Source organism: Homo sapiens, chromosome 4 (assembly GCF_000001405.40).
Source record: "Homo sapiens chromosome 4, GRCh38.p14 Primary Assembly".
In the NCBI taxonomy this organism is placed as follows: domain Eukaryota; kingdom Metazoa; phylum Chordata; class Mammalia; order Primates; family Hominidae; genus Homo; species Homo sapiens.
The window spans coordinates 3,012,764-3,034,611 of NC_000004.12; the positions used below are offsets into that span (position 1 = coordinate 3,012,764).

Below are 21,848 nucleotides of genomic sequence, written 5' to 3' on the forward strand. Positions count from 1 at the left end.
AAGTAATAGAATAAAGATATGAAAATTGTGAATTCTATGAAATATATTTCCTTATACTCTTGACATTTTAAATTAAAAAATCAAGAATCTTTTTAGGCCAGGCGCGGTGGCTCACACCTGTTAATCCTAGCGCTTTGGAAGGCCAAAGTGGGCAGATCACCTGAGGTCAGGAGTTCAAGACCAGCCTGGCCAAAATGGTGAAATCCCGTCTTTACTAAAAATACAAGAAAAATTAGCCAGGCATGGTGGCGGGCACCTGTAATCCCAGCTACTTGGGAGGCTGAGGCAGGAGAATCTTGAGACGGAGTCTCACTCTGTCGCCCAGGCTGGAGTGCAGTGGCGCGATCTCGGCTTACTACAACCTCTGCCTCCCGGGTTTAAGCGATTCTCCTGCCTCAGCCTCTGGAGTAGCTGGGGCTACAGGCACCCGCCACCATGCCTAGTTAATTTTTTTGTTTTTTTATTTTTCGTAGAGACGGGGTGTCGCCATGTTGGCCAGGTTGGTTTCGAGCTCCTGACCTCAGGTGATCTGCCTGCCTTGGCCTCCCAAAGTGCTGGGATTGTAGGCATGAGCCACCATGCCCAGCTGAAAAAGAATCTTTTCAGTTTTACTTTTTAAAACTTTTGCACTTTTACAAAAAGTAAAATACACATATGGGGACATTTAAAAATTAAACATTTACCGTGATCACCTATGCCAACTAGTTCCATTTGTACACTGTCTTAGAGTTGATAGAGTACAGTGCATCACTGAGGGAGGAGCCGACTCACACTGACGAAGCTCACCTTTGAAACGGTCTCGGCTCCTCATGCACTGCTGCTGGTCTCTGCCAGTGAGGGTCTCATCAAGCAAAGAGCTTCCTTTGTGTGGCCTAAGAAATGCCAGGTGGACATAAACCTCCTTTATTTTGCTGTTTAAACTAGGTTTGCGCCTGTCAAGTGCGAGCCACAGGAAAAATGTATGCCTGCAAAAAGCTACAAAAAAAAAGAATAAAGAAGAGGAAAGGTGAAGCTATGGCTCTAAATGAGAAAAGAATTCTGGAGAAAGTGCAAAGTAGATTCGTAGTAAGTGTCTCCTCTTAGTCTTCACTGTGCATTGTTTGATTCATAGCACTTTTGTCAGCCGACATGCCGCTCAGCTCACGCTCACTGAAGCCGTGGAAGTCATTTCTTGTTTTCTGAGTTTATGTGGGGGTTTGCTCTTTTTAGTAACAGTTTTGTTTTTAGTAACAGCTCTCTTCTTTCTTATTCAAACCTTAGAAAACATAGAAGGAGTGATACTGCTTCTAACTTCTGGTTTGTTATAAATCTGTAGTCCCCCGCCTCCCATTCTGTCACTCTTCACACCTGCCAGCTTGCAGAGGCTCCAGGTCCATTAGTTACCCGTGTTTCTTGGTGAATTGCCCTTTCCTTTCCCTTATCACAGCCAGCCAGAGCTTATCTCTGTTTGCTCTCAGCCTCCAGTCAATTTCTCTGGCCCCTGGGACACTGTGACTTGGCTGTGCTTGAGGATACCTTCTCTCTCTCTCTCTCTTTTTTTTTTTTTTTTTTGACACAGGGTTTCGCTCTGTTGTCCAGGCTGGAGCGCAATGGCACGATCTTGGGTCACTGCAGCCTCAACCTTCCAGGCCCAAGTGATCCTCCTACCTCAGCCTCCCAAGCAGCTGGGACCACAGGCACACACCACCATGCCCAACTAGGTTTTAATTTTTTTATTTTTATTCTTATTTTTTAGAGATGAGATCTCTGGCCAGGCGCGGTGGCTCACACCTGTAATCCCACCACTTAGGGAGGCCAAGGAGGGTGGATCACCTGAGGTCAGGAGTTCGAGACCAGCCTGACCAACATGGTGAAATCCCGTCTCTACTAAAAATACAAAAAGAATTAGGTGGGCCTGGTGGCGCGTGCCTGTAGTCCCAGCTACTTGGGATGCTGGTGCAGGAGAATCACTTGAACCTGGGAGGCGGAGGTTGCAGTGAGCTGAGATTGCACCACCGCACTCCAGCCTGGGCAACAGAGCGAGACTCCGTTTCAAAAAAAAGAGAGAGAGATGAGATCTCCCTATGTTGCTCAGGCTGGTCTTGAACTCCTGGGCTCAAGTGATCCACCTGCCTCAGCTTCCCAAAGTGTTGGGATTACAGGTGTGAGCTACCACGTCTGGCTGAGGATACCTTCTCTAGCCCCCTTCTCATGTGGGCCTCCTCCCTCTGGCCTCAATCTGCTTTCCGTCTTTTCCTTTTTCTGGGAAGTTTACCGCTAGGCCCTCAACTAGCATATCCCAATTGTATGAAGCCCAAATACCACCTTCCCACCTTTCTGGAAAGGACAGAACATTGGGCGGACTGGTATGAGCTCAGGGGAGCAGTTCCAGGCTTTACGGTGTGCATTGTATAGTGTGGTTCTCATCTCCAAACCCAGTTTCTCTCTACCTAATTACATATGTCCTGTAGCAGCTACTGAAGTATGAAGACTGGTTGAAGGGAGAGTGTGAACGAGAATTTATAAAATGATTTGTAGTGTTAGAGCTATTTCCTCCAAGCCATTTATTTCTTAGCCCGGAGGTTAGCTGCTTTGTGCAGGGGGACAAATGTTCCCAGTGTACCTTCACAGCCAGCATCTGAATTTAATAGCACAGTGTGGGGCCGGGCGCGGTGGCTCACGCCTGTAATCCCAGCACTTTGGGAGGCCGAGGCAGGCGTCAGGAGATCGAGACCCTCCTGGCTAACACAGTGAAACCCCATCTCTACTAAAAATACAAAGAATTAGCCAGGCGTGGTGGCAGGCGCCTGTAGTCCCAGCTACTCAGGAGGCTGAGGCAGGAGAATGGCGTGAACCCCGGAGGCGGAGCTTGCAGTGAGCCAAGATCACGCCACTGCACTCCAGCCTGGGCAACAGAGCAAGACTCCATCTCAAAAAAAAAAAAAAAAATAGCACAGTGTGTGTATATGATATGTCACTCTCATGTGCAATTACTTGAAAATCTGTAATAAAATGGGCTTATCTGGGAGTTGCTTTAAACATATTTTTTGGCTGGGCTTGGTGGCTCATGCCTGTCATTTCAGCACTTTGGGAGGCCAAGGTGGGAGGATCACTTGAGCCCAGGAGTTTGAAACCAGCCTGGGCAACATAGGGAGACCCCCATCACCCTATTTTTTTTTTTTTTGATACAGAGTCTCGCACTGTCTCCCGGGCTGGAGTGCAGTGGCGCGATCTTGGCTCACTGCAACATCCGGCTCCCGGGCTCAAGTGATTCTCCTGCCTCAGCCTCCCGAGTAGCTGGTTTTACAGGTGCCCACCACCACACCCAGCTAATTTTTTGTATTATTAGTAGCGACAGGGTTTCACTTTGTTGGCCAGGCTGGTCTCAAACTCCTGACCTTGTGATCTACCCACCTTGGCCTCCCAGAATGCTGGGGATTACAGGTGTGAGCCACCAAGCCTGGCCTCTACAAAAAAAATTTTTTTTAAAAGGCCAGGCACTGTGGCTCACGCCCTGTAATCCCAGCACTTTGGGAGGCCAAGGCCTGCAGATCACCTGAGGTCAGGAGTTCGAGACCAGCCTGGCCAACATGGTGAAACCCTGTCTCTAATAAAATACAAAAATTAGCTGGGTGTGTGGTGGCGAGCACCTGTAATCCAAGCTACTTGGGTGGCTGAGACAGGAGAATTGCTTGAACTCAGAAGACGGAGGTTGCAGTGAGCCCAGATTGCGCCATTGTACTCCAGCCTGTGTACTCCAGCCTGGGTGACAGAGTGAGACTCAATCTCCAAAAAAAAAAAAAAAAAAATTAGCCAGGCATGGTGGTGTGTGACTGTAGTCCCAGCTACTCAGAAGGCTGTGGTGGGAGGATTGCTTGAACCCAGGTGGTCAGGGCTGCAGTGAGCCATTATTGCCCACTGCACTCCAGCCTGGGTGACAGAGTGAGATCCCATCTCAAAAACAAAGCAAAACAAAAAAAAAAATACAAAAAAACAAAACAAAAAAAACCCCCGTGTAACTACCTTGGAACATAGAAATCCACAATCTAGCTTTATGAAAAGAACAGAAACAGTTGTTACAGTTTCTTTTGCTTAAATGCTTTGATTTCTATATCGTTGGCCTCTCCCAAGGAACCTAGAGACATTTTTCTCCTTCCCTATGGTGTTTTCTCCCTGCTTAACCTAGAGACATTTTTCTCCTTCTGTGATGGTGTTTACCCCCTGCTTACAGTGGCATGTTCATCCCTGCTGCGCCCTGACCCATGGCAGTAATGCCTCTCCCTGGAGCCCTCTGCCCCTGCCTGCACCCTCGCCCCTCACAGTCTGTTCTCCACGGAGCAGTGCAAGGCAGTCTGTGGACAAGTTAAATTAGTCATCCACTTTCCTGATTAAAAACTCCAGTGGCCACCTGCCACTCTGAGAATAAAATTAGACTCAGCTCTGGCCTTTCAGGCACTGAGGGACCTGGCTCCTGCAGCCTCTGCCACATCAGGCCTGGGGTCTGACTGCACTCTGCCTGAAGCATCACTGCCTTTCCCTCTTGCCCTTGGTCTCCCTCCCCATAGGCAGTCTGTGAGTCGCCCATCACTCTGTTGGATGGTTTCTTTGCATTGGTTCATCTGTCATCTGTAACTGCCCAGGCCTCCTCCACCACGATATTAGGACAGAGCTCCTCAGGGCCATGCTCACCACTGCATCCCAGCTGCCCACAACAAGGCTGGCGTGATAAAAGATTCTCAATATAATTTTAATATATATTAAGCAGATGTTGAATGAATATTCACAAGAGGAGAGAAAGTAAGGGATCCTTACTAATTCAAGGGCCAGTGAGAATTCCTTGTGGTTTAATTCTGTGGTCTGTTGCATGCCGGCTGGGGCCTCCTCTCCTCCATTCTCAGCACCTCTGTTACTGTTTTAATACATCATGACCAAGTTGGATTTATTCCAGGAATGAAAATCAAATAATGTAATTTATCACGTTACCAGAATAAAGGGAAGAACCATATGGTCATCTCAACAGCTGCAGGAAGAGCTTTTGATAGAAGCTAATGCCCAGTCATGCTTAAAAACTCGAAGCAAACCAGGTACAGAAAGGAACTTCCTTCAGAAAATCTCTAACACAATCATACTTAATATGAAAATATTAAAAGCTTTTCCCCGTGAGATCTGGAATGAGGCTAGATACCTGCTGACCATTTCAATTCAACATGATATTGGAAATTCTGGCCAGTGCAGTAAGGTAAAGGAAAAAGTGAAAGGGATTAAGGTTAGAGAAAAGAAGAAAAAAGGTTAAAAAAAAGCCCTCATCATTTTCTTTTTCTTTTTCTTTTTCTTTTTTTTTTTTTTAGATAGAGATGGGGGTCTCACTATATTGCCCATGCTGGTCTGGAACTCCAGGGATCAAGTGATCCTCCTACCTAGGCCTCCCAAACTGCTGGGATTATAGGTATGAACCACTGTGCCCGGCCACAACTCATTATTTTCGAACAACATCATTGTATGTGGAGACATTCCCAGATTTTTAGATAACCTATTAAGGATTTAACCAAGTGATTAAATGTGAATCAGCCACTAACAATTAGAAAATGGAAATGTTACTGATACCATTTACAATGGCATCAAGAAACATCAAAATCTAAGAAAAGACCCGGTGAGGTGGTGTGCACCTGTAGTCCCAGCTTCTTGGGTGACTGAGATGGGAGGATCAGTTGAGCCCAGGAGTTTGAGTCCAGCCTGGGCAACATAGCAAGACCCTGTCTCTTAAAAAATAACTCTAGGCAAAGAACTGACAAAAATGTGCAAGACTTCTACACTGAGAACTGTAAAATGTTATTATAAGAAATTAAAGAAGGAGGCTGGGCACTGTGGTTCACGCCCGTGATCCCAGCACTTTGGGAGGCCGAGGCAGGTGGATCACTTGAGGTCAGGAGTTTGAGATCAGCCTGGCCAACATGGTGAAACCTCATCTCTACTATAAATACAAAAATTAGCCGGGCGTGGTGACAGGTGCCTATAATCCCAGCTACTCGGGAGGCTGAGGCAGGAGAATCGCTTGAAACCTGGGAGACAGAGGTTGCAGTGAGCCGAGATGGTGCCACTGCACTCCAGCCTGGGCGACAGAGCAAGACTGTGTCTCAAAAAAATAAAGAAAGAAGGTCTAAATAAATAGGGGGAGACCATGTTCCCAGATTGGAAGACCCGATGCTGTAAAGATGCTGGTTTTCCCTAATTGATCTGTAGATTAAATGAATTGAATGCAGCCCCAATCAGAATCCCAGCAGGGTGTGTGTGTATGTGTGTGTGTGTGAACTGACATACAAACCAATAGAAAAATGGGGGGAAAATAGACTAGGCATTTCACAAAAGAGGATCCAAATGGCTATTAATTATATGAAAGGGTCCCCTATCTTTGCATATATAGAGAAATGCAAATTAAGACCGCAGTAAGAGACTACTCCACCAGCATTATTCAAACTAAAAAGATTGACAGCACAAAATGTTGGAAGGATGTGGCACAGTAAGACCTCTCTTGCACTGCTGGTGGGGCATAGCTTATGTGCTGAATGCGGTTGCCCGGGAAGTACAGAATGTCAGGGCTCAAGTGATGAGAGCACAACACAGAGGAGTCATGATCCCAAGTATCTTGGTGAAGTTTCGCCACTTCTTCGCTTAGCTGTAGAAAGTTCTCTCTTTTGGCTACACAGCTGCGGTAAAATCTTCAGCATGCCAAGGTCCAAGAGGCACGTGATATGTCCTGTACATTTCTCTGAAACATATAGTATTCACATGTTCTGATTGTAAACCTAACACAGATTATTTGCATATTATTAGCAAATAGAGGAAATCACCAATGAAAGAGCAAGTTCGTGTTCTGTTTTTATGATGTTGCTGTCTTTAGGTTAGTTTAGCCTACGCTTATGAAACCAAAGATGCCTTGTGCTTGGTGCTCACCATTATGAATGGAGGGGATTTGAAGTTTCACATTTACAACCTGGGCAATCCCGGCTTTGATGAGCAGAGAGCCGTTTTCTATGCTGCAGAGCTGTGTTGCGGCTTGGAAGATTTACAGAGGGAAAGAATTGTATACAGGTAAGAACGGTGCTACCTAATGGAGCCTGCAAGTCTTGGAGCCGGTTTCTCCCAGCCCTAGGCTTCCCTGGTTCACACTGGCTGCTTCCAGGATGGGCAGGAGAATAGCTGGGAGGCCCTCGATGGTGATTCTTAGGGTTGGTCACTTACACTATTGGAAATATGGCCAGTCAGAGGGCCCTGGGTGTTTTTTTGTTTTGTGTTTGAGATGGAGTCTCACTCTGTCACCTAGGCTGGAGTGCAATGGCACAATCTCGGCTCACTGCAGTTCGAGTGATTCTCCTGCCTCAGACTCCCAAGTAGCTGGGACTACAGGCACCCGCCACCATGCCCAGCTAATTTTTTGTATTTTTACTAGAGATGGGGGTCTCACCATGTTGGCCAGGCTGGTCTCGATCTCCTGACCTCAGGTGATCCACGGGCCTCAGCCTCCAAAAGTGCTGGGATTACAGGTGTGAGCCACCGTGCCCAGCCTAAATCTCTAATAAATTGTCTTTTTGAAGCAGAAGTTTGTTTTTTACTGGTTAAGTTGATCAAATAAAGGTGGTGCTACTCATGTAAGCATAAGAAGAGCCCATTTCCAAGGTTCTTAGGTATGTTGATAGTTCTGATAAGGATCTATTATGTCCTGCCATATAACATAACAATTTAATGTCTTGAAATAGTAGTTTCTTTTTTGCATCTTAGAATTTAGTAAAGAAAATTAAATTAAACTTCATAGTTTAGTGTAATCAATGTATTTAGTTTTAGGAAAAAACAATTCCCCCTCCTGTCCCTTAAATGCTGGAGTTCCTGGGCTCTGAGTCTCTTCTCAGTCACTCTCCCTGGGTAATTTCATTTCCTCCCTTCTGTGGGTTCATCTGCCAGTTATAGTCGGTCCCCCATATCCATGGGTTCCATGTTGTAGATTCAAAGAGCTGTGAATCGAAAATATTCAGAAAATCCTGCTCAACAGGATGAAAGGGGGAAAAAAAAGAGAAAATATTCAGAAAAAAAAGGATGCTTGCGTCTGTATTGAACATGTAGACTTTGTTCTTGTCACTATTCCCTAAACAATATAGTACAATTATGATTTACTTATCATTTACATTGTGTCCGGTAGTATGTGTAATCTAGAGGTGATTTAAAGTAATTGGGAGGATGTGTGTAGGTTATATGGAAATTTTGCACCATTTTATATCAGGGACTTGAGGACCCTTGGATTTTGATATCCAAGGGAAAGGGGCCTGCTGTGGGACCTGATGGTGTCTCCCTTGTCACCTTGTAAGCCTGGCCCTCGTGGCCTTTGTGATGCAGCTCCCCACAGAGCCCTCCAGCCTTGGGTCCTGCTGCTCCCACACCCCCTGCCCTCATCATGCGAGGGTTTTAGCTGCTCAGGTGTCCTCACTTCATTGTACCTTTGCACAAGGTGTTCCTGTGTGGGTGCCACTCTCCACCCAGCCCCTCTTCCTGTCATTCTGAGAGACTCCTGCTCATCCGCCCAGAGTTGGCCCACACAGCACGAGGGTGTGAGCATGAGGATGTGCCCCTCCCCCACATCCTCCAACTGCTCCCCGTGTTGTCTGCTCAGATGGTCACGTCAGACGATGAGCTTCTTGGGAGTCCTTGATCTCATTTCTTCCTATTCTGATGGACCTTTGGCTTCTCCTTATCTTATATATCCCACAGCCAATATGGGATAAATATCTCTTAAGGACCAGAGACCAGGCTTGGCAGTGGGGCTGACACCTCCGCACCTTGAGCATTGAGCAAGGGGTGGATTGCTGCCCTGGCTATGAGTCCTCTAGACACAGAGGTGGTCGCCTGAGTTGAGGAAGCCTTGTTGCCATTGCTTAGAGGTAAGAGTCTGGTGGTATTGGACCATGGAACACACCCATAGGAGATTTGATTCTTTTGTTACTCCTGGAGTAAATCACACTTCACAGGTGACTACGGCTGAGCCGCTGTGTTTGGTTTCAGTCTCAAGATGAGCTGGATTTTCTCATGTGAGCTTTGGCTCATCCTCTAACCTCCGGTACCCACTTGCCTCACCCGCCTGCACTCAGTGGGGGCTGCACCATGTCTGCCCCATCCACCGCTGTGTCCACGGGACTCACCATCAGTAGGTATCACTAAGCATTTGTTGAATGAATGACCGATGGTCCCAGTGACATTCCCACCTCAGCCCCCTGAGTAGCTGGGACTACAGGTACACACCACTGCACCCAGCTTGAGGCATTCTAATATGGGGAATTTTCAGTTTTTGAAACACTTAAAAATATGTTAATGGTAAGAGAAATTGTGCCACGTTCATTAAGGACTGTTTGCTTTCCTTCCTACTGGGCTGCATATTTAATCACTGAAATGTCTTCAAATCTGTATAACTATGCAAAGAAGTTCATTTTACACTGTCGTCACATGTGAGTTGTTTGCTGAGATGAATTTTGTAACATTCTTGTCCTGCCTGTTTGCCGTGGCTCATGAAGGGCAGTTTCGTGTTTTGCCGCGCTAGCCCTTGCTCACGCTGGTTGTTCCTACTGGGTACTCAGGAATCACAGTGCCAACTTCTGAATAATTGGGCCTTTTGTTGTTGTTTCTTGTAGAGACTTGAAGCCTGAGAATATTCTCCTTGATGATCGTGGTAAGTGGGCAAGCCTTTCACATCTAATGGGTAGACTTTGTTAGAGGGACTTGGATACAGAAAGTTGGATGCAGAAAGTGGACTTAATGATTAGGAGAGAATGGAAACAATAACAAAAAGAAAAACTCTGTGGTATGTGTTCATTTTAAAAAGATGAAATACTGACAATTTGGTCATTCCCCTGTGTTTAGGCAAGAAGCAGAGATGGTCATAATTTTCAATTAATGATTGAGTTTTAGAAGCCTTTTTTTTTAAGTCAGGGTCTTGCTGTGTCGCCCAGGCTGGAGTGCAGTGGTGTAATCATAGCTCACTGCAGCCTTGAACTACTGGGCTCAAATGACCCTCCCATCTCAGCTTTCTGCATAGCTGGGACTACAGCTGTGCGCCACCATGCTTGGCTAATTTTTAAATTTTTTTTGTAGAGATAGGGGTCATGCTATGTTGCCCAGGCTGTTCTCAAACTACTGCCCTCAAGCAGTCCTCCTGCCTTCCCTCCCAAAGCACTAGGGTTACAGGCATAAGCCACTGTGCCCCACCTAGAAGCACATTAAAGTAAACACAAAGTCAGAACGTTTTCTCCCTCTTGTTTCTTGCTGTTGACCCACCTCTTGCTTTATTCTTTTTTATTTCCATTCCCCTCTAAACTTTGTCATGTTGCCCCTGGTGCTGTCCTCTTGTCACATAGCATGTGTCACAGAGCAGGGTGCAGATGGCTGCTTGGAGACCCTGTAATAGTGGACAGGGAGTGGCCCTTTTCAGCAGGCTCCTTGTCTGCAGCATGGGTGCACACTCCACCTTGGTTCCTCTAAGGGAGAGTCATACCCAGAATGCAAGGATGGTTGCACTGCTGGGGAGGGTGGTTGTGCTCACACATAGCTCACAAGCAGTGCTGGGAGAGAGCTTCTTTCAAGTGAGTTTTCTTGGCAAAGAAGGGTCTTACAGTCTAGTAGAGCACACATGGCAAGGTCAGTGGCTCCTGCCGAGAAGAGGACAGGCGTCTAAGGCGGAGATTGAGGGCAGTCGTGGGGGACTTGGAATGCTAGTCTCCTTTTATGCCTCTGCCAGATGCTTTCATGCTTATCTAATTCATGTATGACACCCTGCCCTGTGAGGAAGGAGGGTACTGGAATTCTCATTTAATGGAAGGCGATACCAAGATTTAGGAATCAGACTTGTCCAAGGTTGTGTCCGTAGCTCCTGACTTAGCCTGTGGTTCATTCCTGGTGCTGTGCTGCTCACCAGAGGTGGCTTTGGGTGGGGAGGGCACTAAGCGAAGCTGCTCACTTACTGAGTTGTTAAAAGGCTTAACAAGGGTAGGTAGAACGTGCTCTGTATGCAAAGTGGAGCAATCTCCAAGCTATGTGGTTGATCGGAACAGGGTACGGTGCAGAGTGTGTGTGTAGTGTGCTCCCTTTTGTGTAAACAAAGCAGGGAATTGTGTGTAGTGTGCTTGCTCATAAACATAAAGAAACATAAAGGGACAATCATGAGAAATGGTTAGAAGTGATAACAAGGCAGGGGAGCACACTGATAACCTTTTTCTGTGTTTTTAGGAGATTTTTCTGTGTAGTTCTCTCTTCTTTAGAACTTTACCCCACATGTTTGAGCTGAGCTGTCTTTCCCCAGTGCTAACTCCTGCCTGGCTAACTTAGCAAGACCCCTGCTCTGCCCAGGTTCCCCTCCTGCGCCACGATCTGAAAGGCACTCCCGGGTGGGATGCCAGGATGGTTGCTGGGCCAGTTCCCTGTCTCTTCTCTTGGGGACCACAGTCCTCTGATGCCGATGACCACAGTTTTCCTTTTTTTAAAGTTCTTTTTAAGGTCAGGGTCTCTCTATGCTACCCAGGCTGGGTGCAGTAGCTACTCACAGGTGCGATTGTGGCACAATTACAACCTGAAACTCCTGGGCCTAAGCGACCCTCCTGCCTCAGCCTCCCACGTAGCTGGAGTTTCAGGCATGCACCACCACATCCAGCAGCGATTAAGGATATTTTAGTTGTTACGGTGCAATTATGCCTCACTGCAGTTTTGACCTCCAGGGCTGTAGCGATCCGCCTTGCCTCAGCCTCCTGAGTAGCTGGGAATACAGGCATGAGCCACCATATCTGGCTAATTTTAAAAAATTGTAGGCCAGGTGTGGGGCTTGTACCTATAATCCTAGTACTTTGGGAGGCTGAGGCAGGTGGATCACTTGAGGTCAAGAGTTCGAGACCAGCCTGGCCAACATGGTGAAACCCTGTCTCTACTAAAAATACAAAAATTAGCCGGGCGTGGCAGTGCACCTCTAATCCCAGCTACTCAGGAGGCCGAGGCAGGAGAATCGCTTGAACCCGGGCGGCAGAGGTTGCAGTGAGCCGAGATTGCACCACTACACTCCAGCCTGGGCGACAGAGTGAGACTCCGTCTCAAAAAACAAACAAACAAACAACAACAACAACAACAAAACCAGTAAAATATTTCTTTGCAGTTCTTTTAGTCATTAGCAAAAGTTCTTTGGTTCTAGGGTTGTTCACTCAAATTAATTTAAAGTCACTCAGAGGCCGGGCACAGTGGCTCTTGCCTGTAATCCCAATATTTTGGGAGGCCAAGGCAGGTGGATCACCTGAAGTCAGGAGTTCAAGACCAGCCTGGCCAACATGGTGAAACCCTGTCTCTACTAAAAATACAAAAATTAGCTGGGTGTGGTAATACATGCCTGTAGTCCCAGCTACTTGAGGGGCTGAGGCAGAAGAATCGCTTGAACCTGGGAGGCGGAGGTTGCAGTGAGCTGAAATCAAGCCATTGCACTCCAGCCTAGGTGACAGAGTGAGACTCTGTCTCAAAAAAAAAAAAAAAAAAAGTCACTCAGTATCATTCCCTTCTGTGCGGTTAAACCACCAGCTGGATACACCATTAGGTTCATTTTCTTAATTTTGCTTTCAATTTTTAGCGATCTAATTTTTTTTTTTTTTTTTTTTGAGACGGAGTCTTGCTCTGTCGCCCAGGCTGGTGTGCAGTGGCGTGATCTCGGCTCACTGTAAGCTCCGCCTCCCAGGTTCATGCCATTCTCCTGCCTCAGCCTCCCAAGCAGCTGGGACTACAGGCGCCCGCCACCACGCCCGGCTAATTTTTTATATTTTTTTTAGTAGAGACGGGGTTTCACCGTGTTAGCCAGGATGGTCTCGATCTCCTGACCTTGTGATCCGCCCGCCTCGGCCTCCCAAAGTGCTGGGATTACAGGCTTGAGCACCGCGCCCGGCCAGCAATCTAATTTTTTAATGTTATAATTATGTAAAACATTTATGTGGTTCCAAAGATAACACCGCAAAATAGAGTGTATCGTAAGATGTCTAGATTCCATCCCTGACCATCCCCAAGTAATTATTTTAACTCATATTTCATTCCTTCATTTACATACTATATATGTATAGATATATTTGTTCCCCACTCATTTCTTAAATAAAGTAGTAGACCACATGTATTGTCCTCCACGTGGCTATTTCACTGAATATACGGTGGAGATGGCTCTGCAACACTCATGGACGGCTTCCGTCCGTCTGCTGTGCCTCCTGCAGGCGAACCTGACCTGTTTGCGCAGCCCTCGCTGGTAAGCGTGTCATCTCCACCGGTGCTGTTTCCGTTGGTGCCGCGATGGAGAGCCTTGGGCACATGTAATTTCCTATTTCGTTGAATGTATCCTTGATAGAGTCCTAGAAGTGGGTGAATTCATACGCAATTTGTCAGATATTGCCAGATTCCGCTCCAGGGTGTTTCCCGTCTGCATTCCCACCAGCAGTGCACGAGAGCACCTGTTTCCCCACAGCCTCGCCAGCAGACCGAGTTCTCGAACTTTGGAGTTTTTGTCAGTTTGTTAGCTGGGAATTGGTATTTCAGTGTAGTTTTAAGTTGCATTTCTCAGTTTAAAAATCCATTTTTATAAGAAAAATAAGACAATGATACGAAAAAAATAAGTCACAACATGTTAGCACTCTACTTAAATGAAAAATACACGAAAGCTGGCCAGGCACGGTGGCTCACGCCTGTAATCCCAGCACTTTGGGAGGCCAGGGTGGGAGGATCGCTTGAGCCCAGGAGTTCAAGACCAGCCTGGGCAACATGACCAAACCCTGTCTCTACAAAAGAAAAGAAAAGAAAATGAAATGTGGATTATTGAAAGAATGCATCTGTACAAGGGGAGGAAACTGAGACATGATAGTACATGGCAGAGCCAGGACTCAGACCCACGCCATCGGGCTGGGTCTGTGCTCCTCACCCCTGTGCTCTCCCGCCTCCCAGGGTGGGCGCGCAGCAAGGGCGGGGTGTGGTGTATCACGTGCATGCATCTGAGTCAGAGGCCGGCTTTCCTCTCTAAAGCATCATGCAGACTGTTTTAAAATGACTACAGTGCCTTGGAGGGCATGTCGCATATTTTTAGTTTTTAGCAAACATTTATTGGTTATTCATTCATTTCACCAATAAATATTTATTGAGCACCTACTGTAGGCCAGGGTATGATATTAGAAGCTGAGGATAAGTGGTGAATAAGTTGAAGATAGTGTCCGCTTCCAGGGCTGGCTAATCTTTCTACACACTCAACAGAATGTTTTCGATAATTTCGTATTTTCTTTATAATTTTTTTGAGACAGATTCTCACTCTTGCCCTGCAGTGGTGTGATCATGGTTCACCGCAGCCTCGACCTTCTGGGCTTAAGCGATCCTCCTGCCTCAGCCTCCAGAGTAGCTGGGACCATAGCCATGTGCCATCACACCCAGCTAATTTTTTTAAAAATCTTTTTTTATAGAGACAGGGTCTTGTCATGTTTCCCAGGCTGGTCTCAAAATGTGGAACTCAAGTAATCCTCCGACCTTGGCCTCCCAAAGTGCTGGAATTACAGGTGTGAACCACCGTGTCTGGCCTAATTTGTTAGTTCCATAGGAATTCAACAAATATTTAAATCCTTCTATATTCAACGCATTAACACATAATATAGTTCCCTAAGTACCTTAATTTTGTTTATTATTTCCCTGACTCTATTACCATTTGTTCTCAAGAGAATAACTCCATATCATTCATGTGTAGCTGTCCCTGTGTATAGTACTGGTACTCTGACAGAAAGTATTTATTTACTGTTCTGTAGTTGATATAATATTCATTATATTTTTATTGATGTACCTGGAAGTTGTATGACATAAAATAATAAATCCAGTGTTTCTGTCTTATCAAGTGGTGGCCTATGATTAAAGGGCTTCCTGATCAATAGCCAGGCAAAAATCGAATTTTCCTGCTGCTAGTGAAAATGCATTGTATGGAATTTTACTAAACATGAAAAAGTTAAATGCCATTTTACGTTTACTGTTCCAGAGTATGAAATGCTATTATTTCCAGCCATGGTTTTTGAGGGGCCTTTTTTCCCATTTTAATTGTTGTTACGGTGTCATTACTTCCCCCGTGACCTGTGTAATAACATATTTGAACACACAGGACACATCCGGATTTCAGACCTCGGTTTGGCCACAGAGATCCCAGAAGGACAGAGGGTTCGAGGAAGAGTTGGAACAGTCGGCTACATGGGTTCGTGAGAGGCTTTCGGCGTCCTTGTCCTTTCTATCCGGGTGCCTGAGTGCCTCAGAACACAGAGAAATCCACCCTGAATGGACCGGGGCCTCGGTTTGGACACACTAGTAGATGGCGCAGTGGTGTTTTGAATCTCTAACCTGTCAGAGTGTTGAGGCTGCTGGGGATCCTGTAGGCTGCCCTCAGCTTCTTACAGATGAGGGGTGAGGCCTGAGAGGTTGTGAGTCCTGAGGTCACTCAGCGAAGTGAGGGCAGAATCGGGATGACACCGCAGGTCTCCTCACTCTACCAGTGTCCTCCCCTGTGCACCACGGCCTCTCGGAGCCTCAGGAAATCACCCCACTCTGGTTATTCCAAAGATCCGGGGGCAGTGCCAGCCAACCCCCAGGGGTGGCCTCTGAGAGCCTCGCAGAGTCCTGCAGGAAGACCCCAAGGTCTTGTGGCTTTCCGCTCTTGCGTCTTGTGGGGTTTTTCACTGCCCTGGGATAGATGGCAAGACGTGACACTTGGGGCGCCCTGGGCATGGCTCTGTGTGTCTGGAGGGAGCCCCTTCAGGAGGTGGAGCCTTCCCTAGACCACCATTTCCCTTGTGAATGTGACTCTGTGGCAATTCAGCTCATCTTGGATGAATCATACAAATGTTTAAAAATATTAGCTTTATTGGGATATAATTCATATATCATCAAGTCCACCAGTTTGAAGTGTGTAATACAACGGATTTTAGTATTTTCACAGAGTCATGCAACCATCACCACCATCTAATTTCACAACTTTTTTTTTTTTTTGAGACAGAGTCTCACTCAGTCGCCCAGGCTAGAATGCAGTGGCACAATCTTGGCTCACTGCAACGTCCACCTCCCAGGCACAAGCGATTCTCCTGCCTCAGCTTCCTGAGTATCTGGAACTACAGGCGCCTGCCGCCATACCTGGCTAATTTTTGTATTTTTAGTAGAGACAGGGTTTCACCATGTTGTCCAGGCTGGTCTCAAACTCCTGATCTCAGGTGATCTGCCTGCCTTCGCCTCCCAAAATGCTGGGATTATAGGTGTGAGCCACCGCTCCCAGCCTTAACATAATGTTTTTAAGGTTCGTCCATGTTGTCACACACGTTGAATGTATACTGTGTTACTGGGAATTATAAGAAAATTTAAAATCAAAATTTAACTTAATTTCCATTTCCTGTATTTGTTATGTAGCACCTGAAGTTGTCAATAATGAAAAGTATACGTTTAGTCCCGATTGGTGGGGACTTGGCTGTCTGATCTATGAAATGATTCAGGGACATTCTCCATTCAAAAAATACAAAGAGAAAGTCAAATGGGAGGAGGTCGATCAAAGAATCAAGAATGATACCGAGGAGTATTCTGAGAAGTTTTCAGAGGATGCCAAATCTATCTGCAGGATGGTAAGTCAGGCTCTGTAGAGGCTGGGAAATGGCACTTCTCACTCATTCTAGTTGTTTTCACTGGCAGCTATAACAAAAAAAATTGGTCTGTCATCTTCAGCAAGTCCTGGTCACCCACCTCCCAGGCCCTGCCCCTGCCCCTGCAGCCCAGTAGGGAGGACACGCGTGTTCAGGAGGCTCGGGTCCACCTGTGTCTTGGCCCAGCAGGGAGGACACGTGTGTTCAGGAGGCTCAGGTCCACCTGTCTCCTGGCCCAGCAGGGAGGACACGCGTGTTCAGGAGGCTCAGGTCCACCTGCCTCCTGGCCCAGCAGGGAGGACACATGTGCTCAGGAGGCTCACGTCAACCTGTCTCTTGGCCCAGCAGGGAGGACACGTTTGCTTAGGAAGCTCACGTCTACCTGCCTCCTTCCCCATGCTCCTGCCACTGGGATTTCATCAGACAAAAAGAGCCAGTGAGAAAAGTTTCCAGACATGATCTGGAAATGACTTAATTGGGTTTTGATTGGAGCAAAACACAGTAAAATTCATGGTTTGATTTCTCAAATAATGCTACTGAAAGGGAAGAGTGGTACCAAGGTTATTAATTCAGTTTTCAGAAAATAGCCAAGCCTTGTTTCATTGACCAATTTTATATGAAGTTAGACATAAAACCAATCTTTCATGTATTTTGAGGTGGGTAAGGGTTTAGCCACCTGCCAGGGATTGTAGTCCCAGAGACACTCTGACCTGAGGGCCTTCTGTGTGCCTGGCTCTGGGCCTGGTGCTGGACAGACCATTCCTTAACTGTGCTAAGGGCCTCTGAGGCTGACGGTGGCACCCGCGAGTCACAGCAAGGAGATGAGCCCCAAGCGGTGGAGACCTGGTCCCTGGTCCCAGAATGAGCCAGTGGCTGTCAGGGTCCATCTGCCTCTGGGACTGGACTGTGTTACCACCCCTCACTGCCCAGACACTCAATCAGTGAGGGAAACTCTCTTTGTTACTTACTTTAAACCAGTATTTTTTTAGCACATTTTTTTTTTCATTTATTTTCATTCAACAAGGATTTATTGAGCATCTTGTATGTTCCAGGCACCGTCCTAGGCATTGGGGGAAACAGCAGCAAATAGAACAGAAGTCCCCGCCCTGCCAGCGAGAACTGACAGGAAACAGAACAAATGCATAGACGTGTGGGCTGTGGGGAGGACCCGCACTCTGGAGGACGGGGAACTGCCTGGAGGGGCGGCAGGCTCTAGGGGGTGAGAGGGGGTCGGCCTGCTGGGCAGAGCAGACAGAGATTGTCTGCAATAGCAAGGCCACAGTGGCAGGCTGCTGGCAAGAGCAGGAGGGGGTTAGAGGGGGACGGGACAGAGAGCAGGAAGCCCAGGCCATGCTGAACCACCTGTCACTTGTTATTGTCATCATTGTCAAGCCTTGAGTGTTGCTTCCTCTGATGGCCATGAAGCCATCGCAGGGCTCTGTGAAGAGTGATGTGATGAGACTGGGCTTGCCGGCCACTGGGAGAGAATGAATGGACAGGGAGGAGGAAGGCCATTGGGGGCTTTGCAGCGATTCAGGTGAGAGTAAAGGTGACGCAGACCTCGGTGATGGCAGAGCAGGTGTGAGAAGTGATGGCAGATGACCGCTGTCAGATTCAGGATGGATCCTGAAGGCAGGTGGTGGAGAAGACTTCAGGCTGACTCCAAGATGGGCTGGAGGGAAGGGGGCACTCGCTGGAGCCAAGTCCTTGCAGTGGGGAGGACAGCAGCCAGCGCACGGGGAGTGTGTGGGCAGTTCCTCCAGTGACCGGAGAGGAGGCAGAGTCTGTGGCCAGTGCAGCACAGCTGGGGAGACGTGAGCAGGGCTGTGAACGGTCTCTTATGGAGCTTCTTTTTCTCAGATGGTCAGCCCCTAGTGGGGAGCAAAGGTGGGAGGCAGGTGTGAGGAAAGGGGAGGCTTGAAGGCTTGGAAAGCAGGGGTTTCCTCAACAGCATCAAGAGCCCATGCGGACCTGAAGGGAGGGGAGTGGCCGTGGTTGTGTGCTGGGCTTCTGCCACACCTGGACGGTGCAGGCTCAGAGCCAGCAGGGAGCTGCACTCGCCCAGCTCTGGTTTGTCCAGCAGCTAGAGAGAGGCCGGGGAGCTGGGCTGCATGCCAGGGAGTGACTAGAGGACAGACCATGGGCTCGACGCTGGCTCCAGTGGACGAGGAAATGGACACAGGGAACGGCAGGTTCAACAGGATGGGCAAAGCATGGTCCAAGTTGGGAGTCCATACACCTCCAGGCCAGAGTTAGAAAGATGAGAGGGACGCTCAGAGAGGAAGCTGCTTGGAGTGGAGCTGACAGAGTGCTTGCTGGCCAAGAGTCTGGGGTGTGACCAGGGAGAGAGTGGCTGGGGGTCACTGGGGGGATGGAGGATGAAGTCACTGGAGAAGAGAAGGCCACAGGACCAAGCAGCCAGGCATAGGCCCCTGCCTGGGTGTGGGCATTCCTAGCAGCTGTGCCTGGGTAACTGACATGGGCTGGCAGTGGCTGGAGAGGAGTTATTCTGATGTCCTTTTCATGTGTTTCCATATATGAAGCCATGGGTGCTACAGGCTCGTCCTGGAGCCAGGGGTCAGCCTGGAGTTCTCCCGGCTACCTCACTCTGCTTAGAGCTGACTGTTAAATAATGGAGTCTTCCTCCCACAGGACACTGACAGGGCTGCAAGAATGTATAAATATGTACCAGAAATGGAGTCTGCCCCTAAGAGCTCACAGTTTAATGTTAGGCCTAAAACAAACAGAAATGACTGCAGTGAAAAAGCAGAATGGGCCGGGTGCGGTGGCTCATGCTATAATCCCAGCACTTTGGGAGGTCAAGGCAGGTGGATCATGAGGTCAGGAGTTTGAGACCAGCCTGGCCAAGATGGTGAAATCCTATCTCTACTAAAAAAAAAATTAGCCAGGTGCGGTGGTGGGCGCCTGTAATCCCAGGTACTCGGAAGGCTGTGCCACTGCACTCCAGCCTGGCGACAGAGCATGACTCCGTCTCAAAAAAGAAAAAAGAAAAGAAAAAGCAGAATGCATACTTGTTCTGCTAGGCTCGGGGAGGGGAAGAAAAATAAAGCAGGATGCAATGGGTGTCGTAAGTGGATAGAAACAAAGGCTCAGGGGCTTTCAAGATGAAATCCGTGGTGTTGGAGGTGCTGGGAAAGGAGGTGTCTGAGTGAGGGCTCTGTGTGAGAAGCTCTAGCTTTGAAGTTAGGGCCAGGTGAGTCTCAGCTCCCATTACAGGATCATCTCTCCCAGCTCAGTTTCTCATTTATGAAATGTAGATGAGAGTAGCTCTTACTTTATAGGATTGTTGGGAGGATAAAATGAAGTAATACATGTAAAATGTTTAGTAGCAAATAATCCTCCATAATTACTAAGAGGAGAAACAGTTCGTTCTTAAAGAATGGGTTCTATGGGTTAACGACGTCACACAGCAACTGCTGGCAGCTGGACCTGAGGCCAGCTTTTGGACCAAGCCCCTCTCCTCTGCTCTGTGCTGCCTGGTCAGGCCATCTGTCTTAGTCCCTTTGGGCTGCTATGACAGAATCCCTTAGACTGAGTAATTTATCAACAGCAGAAGTTTATTTTCTCAGTCAGGAGGCTGGAAGTCCTAGATCAAGATGCCTGCAGATTTGGTGTTGGTGAGGGCTGCTCTCTGCTTCAAAGATGGAGCCTTGGCTGGAGCTGGTGGCTCATACCTATAATCTTAGCACTTTGGGAGGCTGAGGTGGGAGGATCACTTGAGCCAAGGAGCTAGAGACCAGCCTGGGTAACACAGTGAGATGCCGTCTATATTTTAAAAGAAAGAAAGAAAGAAAAGAAAAGAAAGAAAGATGGAGCCTTCTCACTGCACCCTCACAGGGCAGAGGACAAACCAGCTCCCTGGGGCCCCTTTTCTAATGGCAGGAATCCCATTCACGAGGGCAGAGCCTTCATGACCTCATCACCTCCAGAAGGTCCCACCTCTCAATACTATTGCATTGGGGATTAAGTTTCAGCTTACAGATTTGTGGGGGATACACACATTCAGAGCATCCTGGCCCTCGATGGGAGTGGAGTATGCTGGCAGCAAGCTCAACCATGGGGCTGTGGAGTCCCTGAGATGCAGAAATGGTATTTGCATTACACTTAATTTTCAGATCTGTTTTATTAATTTATTTGTTGTTGTTTCTTTGAGACGGAGTCTCAAGAAACAGATCTGGCCCAGGTTGGAGTACAGTGGTGCGACCTCAGCTCACTGCAGCATCTGCCTCCCGGGTTCAAGGGATTCTCCTGCCTCAGGCTCCTGAGTAGCTGGGACTACAGGCATCTGCCACCACGTCCGGCTAATTTTTGTATTTTTAGTAGAGACCGGGTTTCACCATGTTGGCCAGGATGGTCTTGATCTCCTGACCTCGTGATCCACCCACCTCGGCCTCCCAAAATGCTGGGATTACGGGCATGAGCCACTGCGCCCGGTCTTCACATCCGTTTTAAATTAACAAAGCATGCAAAGAATAAACGCATTGAGCAACTGTTACTGAGCGCCTGCTCTGGCTAGGTGCTGGGGTATCACAGTGGGCCAGAGTCACACAGCCTTAGCTTCAGGAAGCTTTGAGTCTAGCAGGACAGCCTGGCAATAATGGCGCGTCCAAATGACTCATTCTCAGCAAGAAATACTTGTCATCGAGGAGAGGTGGAGGATCCCCTCAGGCTGTGGCAAAAAAATTTGGGGAGCCTAATCTAGTGCAGGTATGGGGGCCAGAAAGCTAAAACCTGAAGAATTTAGCAGGAGTCAGCAAGCCGAAGAGCTTTGTAGACACAGCCCTGGAGCAGGCACAGCCCAGCAAGGAGCTGAGAGCGGTGGGAGATAGAAGCGCAGACCAGAATGCTTTCTGGTCTTTGGGACTTTGAGTTGGCCAGGGATCAGCATACTTTTCTGTAAGGCCAGATGGTAAACAGCGTCTAGACTTTGCAGGTCTATTACAGCGATTCAACTCTGCCGCTATAGTGGAAAAGGGTGGTGTCGATAAAGCCTTGTTTCCAAAACCAGGCAGCTGGTGCCTGTGGTGGCTGGACTGTGGTTTCCCAAGCCCAGGTCTAGGTCACGTTTCAGGGGTCCAGGTCTTTCATGTGTTGCTTTTGAGCACAGCCCTGCTTTTTCTGATTGATGAGAATTGCGGAGGAAGGCTTATTTGCCTTTGTGAT

The 21,848-nt window shown here is 47.8% G+C and overlaps 1 protein-coding gene across 29 annotated transcripts in view, besides 3 other annotated features; it reads left to right on the plus strand.

Annotated features, from left to right (window-relative positions):
* GRK4 (G protein-coupled receptor kinase 4) overlaps positions 1-21,848 on the plus strand; it is a 77,190-nt gene that overhangs the window by 49,193 nt on the left and 6,149 nt on the right. For 23 of the 29 annotated variants that reach the window (XR_924941.3, XM_011513447.3, XM_011513450.3 and 20 more), the window contains 5 exons: positions 925-1,065; positions 6,878-7,068; positions 9,651-9,688; positions 15,149-15,238; positions 16,438-16,646. Coding sequence is in view for 27 of the 29 variants with exons in the window: in XM_011513447.3 (XP_011511749.1) it covers positions 925-1,065; positions 6,878-7,068; positions 9,651-9,688; positions 15,149-15,238; positions 16,438-16,646 (669 nt within the window). In the remaining 2 variants the exon portion in view is untranslated. Of the gene's footprint in view, positions 1-924; positions 1,066-4,965; positions 5,259-6,877; positions 7,069-8,736; positions 8,907-9,650; positions 9,689-15,148; positions 15,239-16,437; positions 16,647-21,848 lie in introns of those variants that run through there. The other 6 variants (XR_001741210.2, XM_017008053.2, XM_011513456.3 and 3 more) reach the window with 6 other exon arrangements.
* Positions 955-1,014: an enhancer, noted in NCBI's record as "active region_21206". NCBI's record gives its function as "activates an Ori minimal core promoter by ATAC-STARR-seq in GM12878 lymphoblastoid cells {active_cell/tissue: GM12878}" and the evidence as "EXISTENCE:reporter gene assay evidence [ECO:0000049][PMID:35858748]".
* Positions 8,461-8,961: an enhancer, noted in NCBI's record as "H3K4me1 hESC enhancer chr4:3022951-3023451 (GRCh37/hg19 assembly coordinates)". NCBI's record gives its function as "activates a minimal SCP1, AML or CMV promoter by ChIP-STARR-seq in naive H9 embryonic stem cells {active_cell/tissue: H9 hESC(naive)}" and the evidence as "EXISTENCE:reporter gene assay evidence [ECO:0000049][PMID:30033119]".
* Positions 8,752-8,871: an enhancer, noted in NCBI's record as "active region_21207". NCBI's record gives its function as "activates an Ori minimal core promoter by ATAC-STARR-seq in GM12878 lymphoblastoid cells {active_cell/tissue: GM12878}" and the evidence as "EXISTENCE:reporter gene assay evidence [ECO:0000049][PMID:35858748]".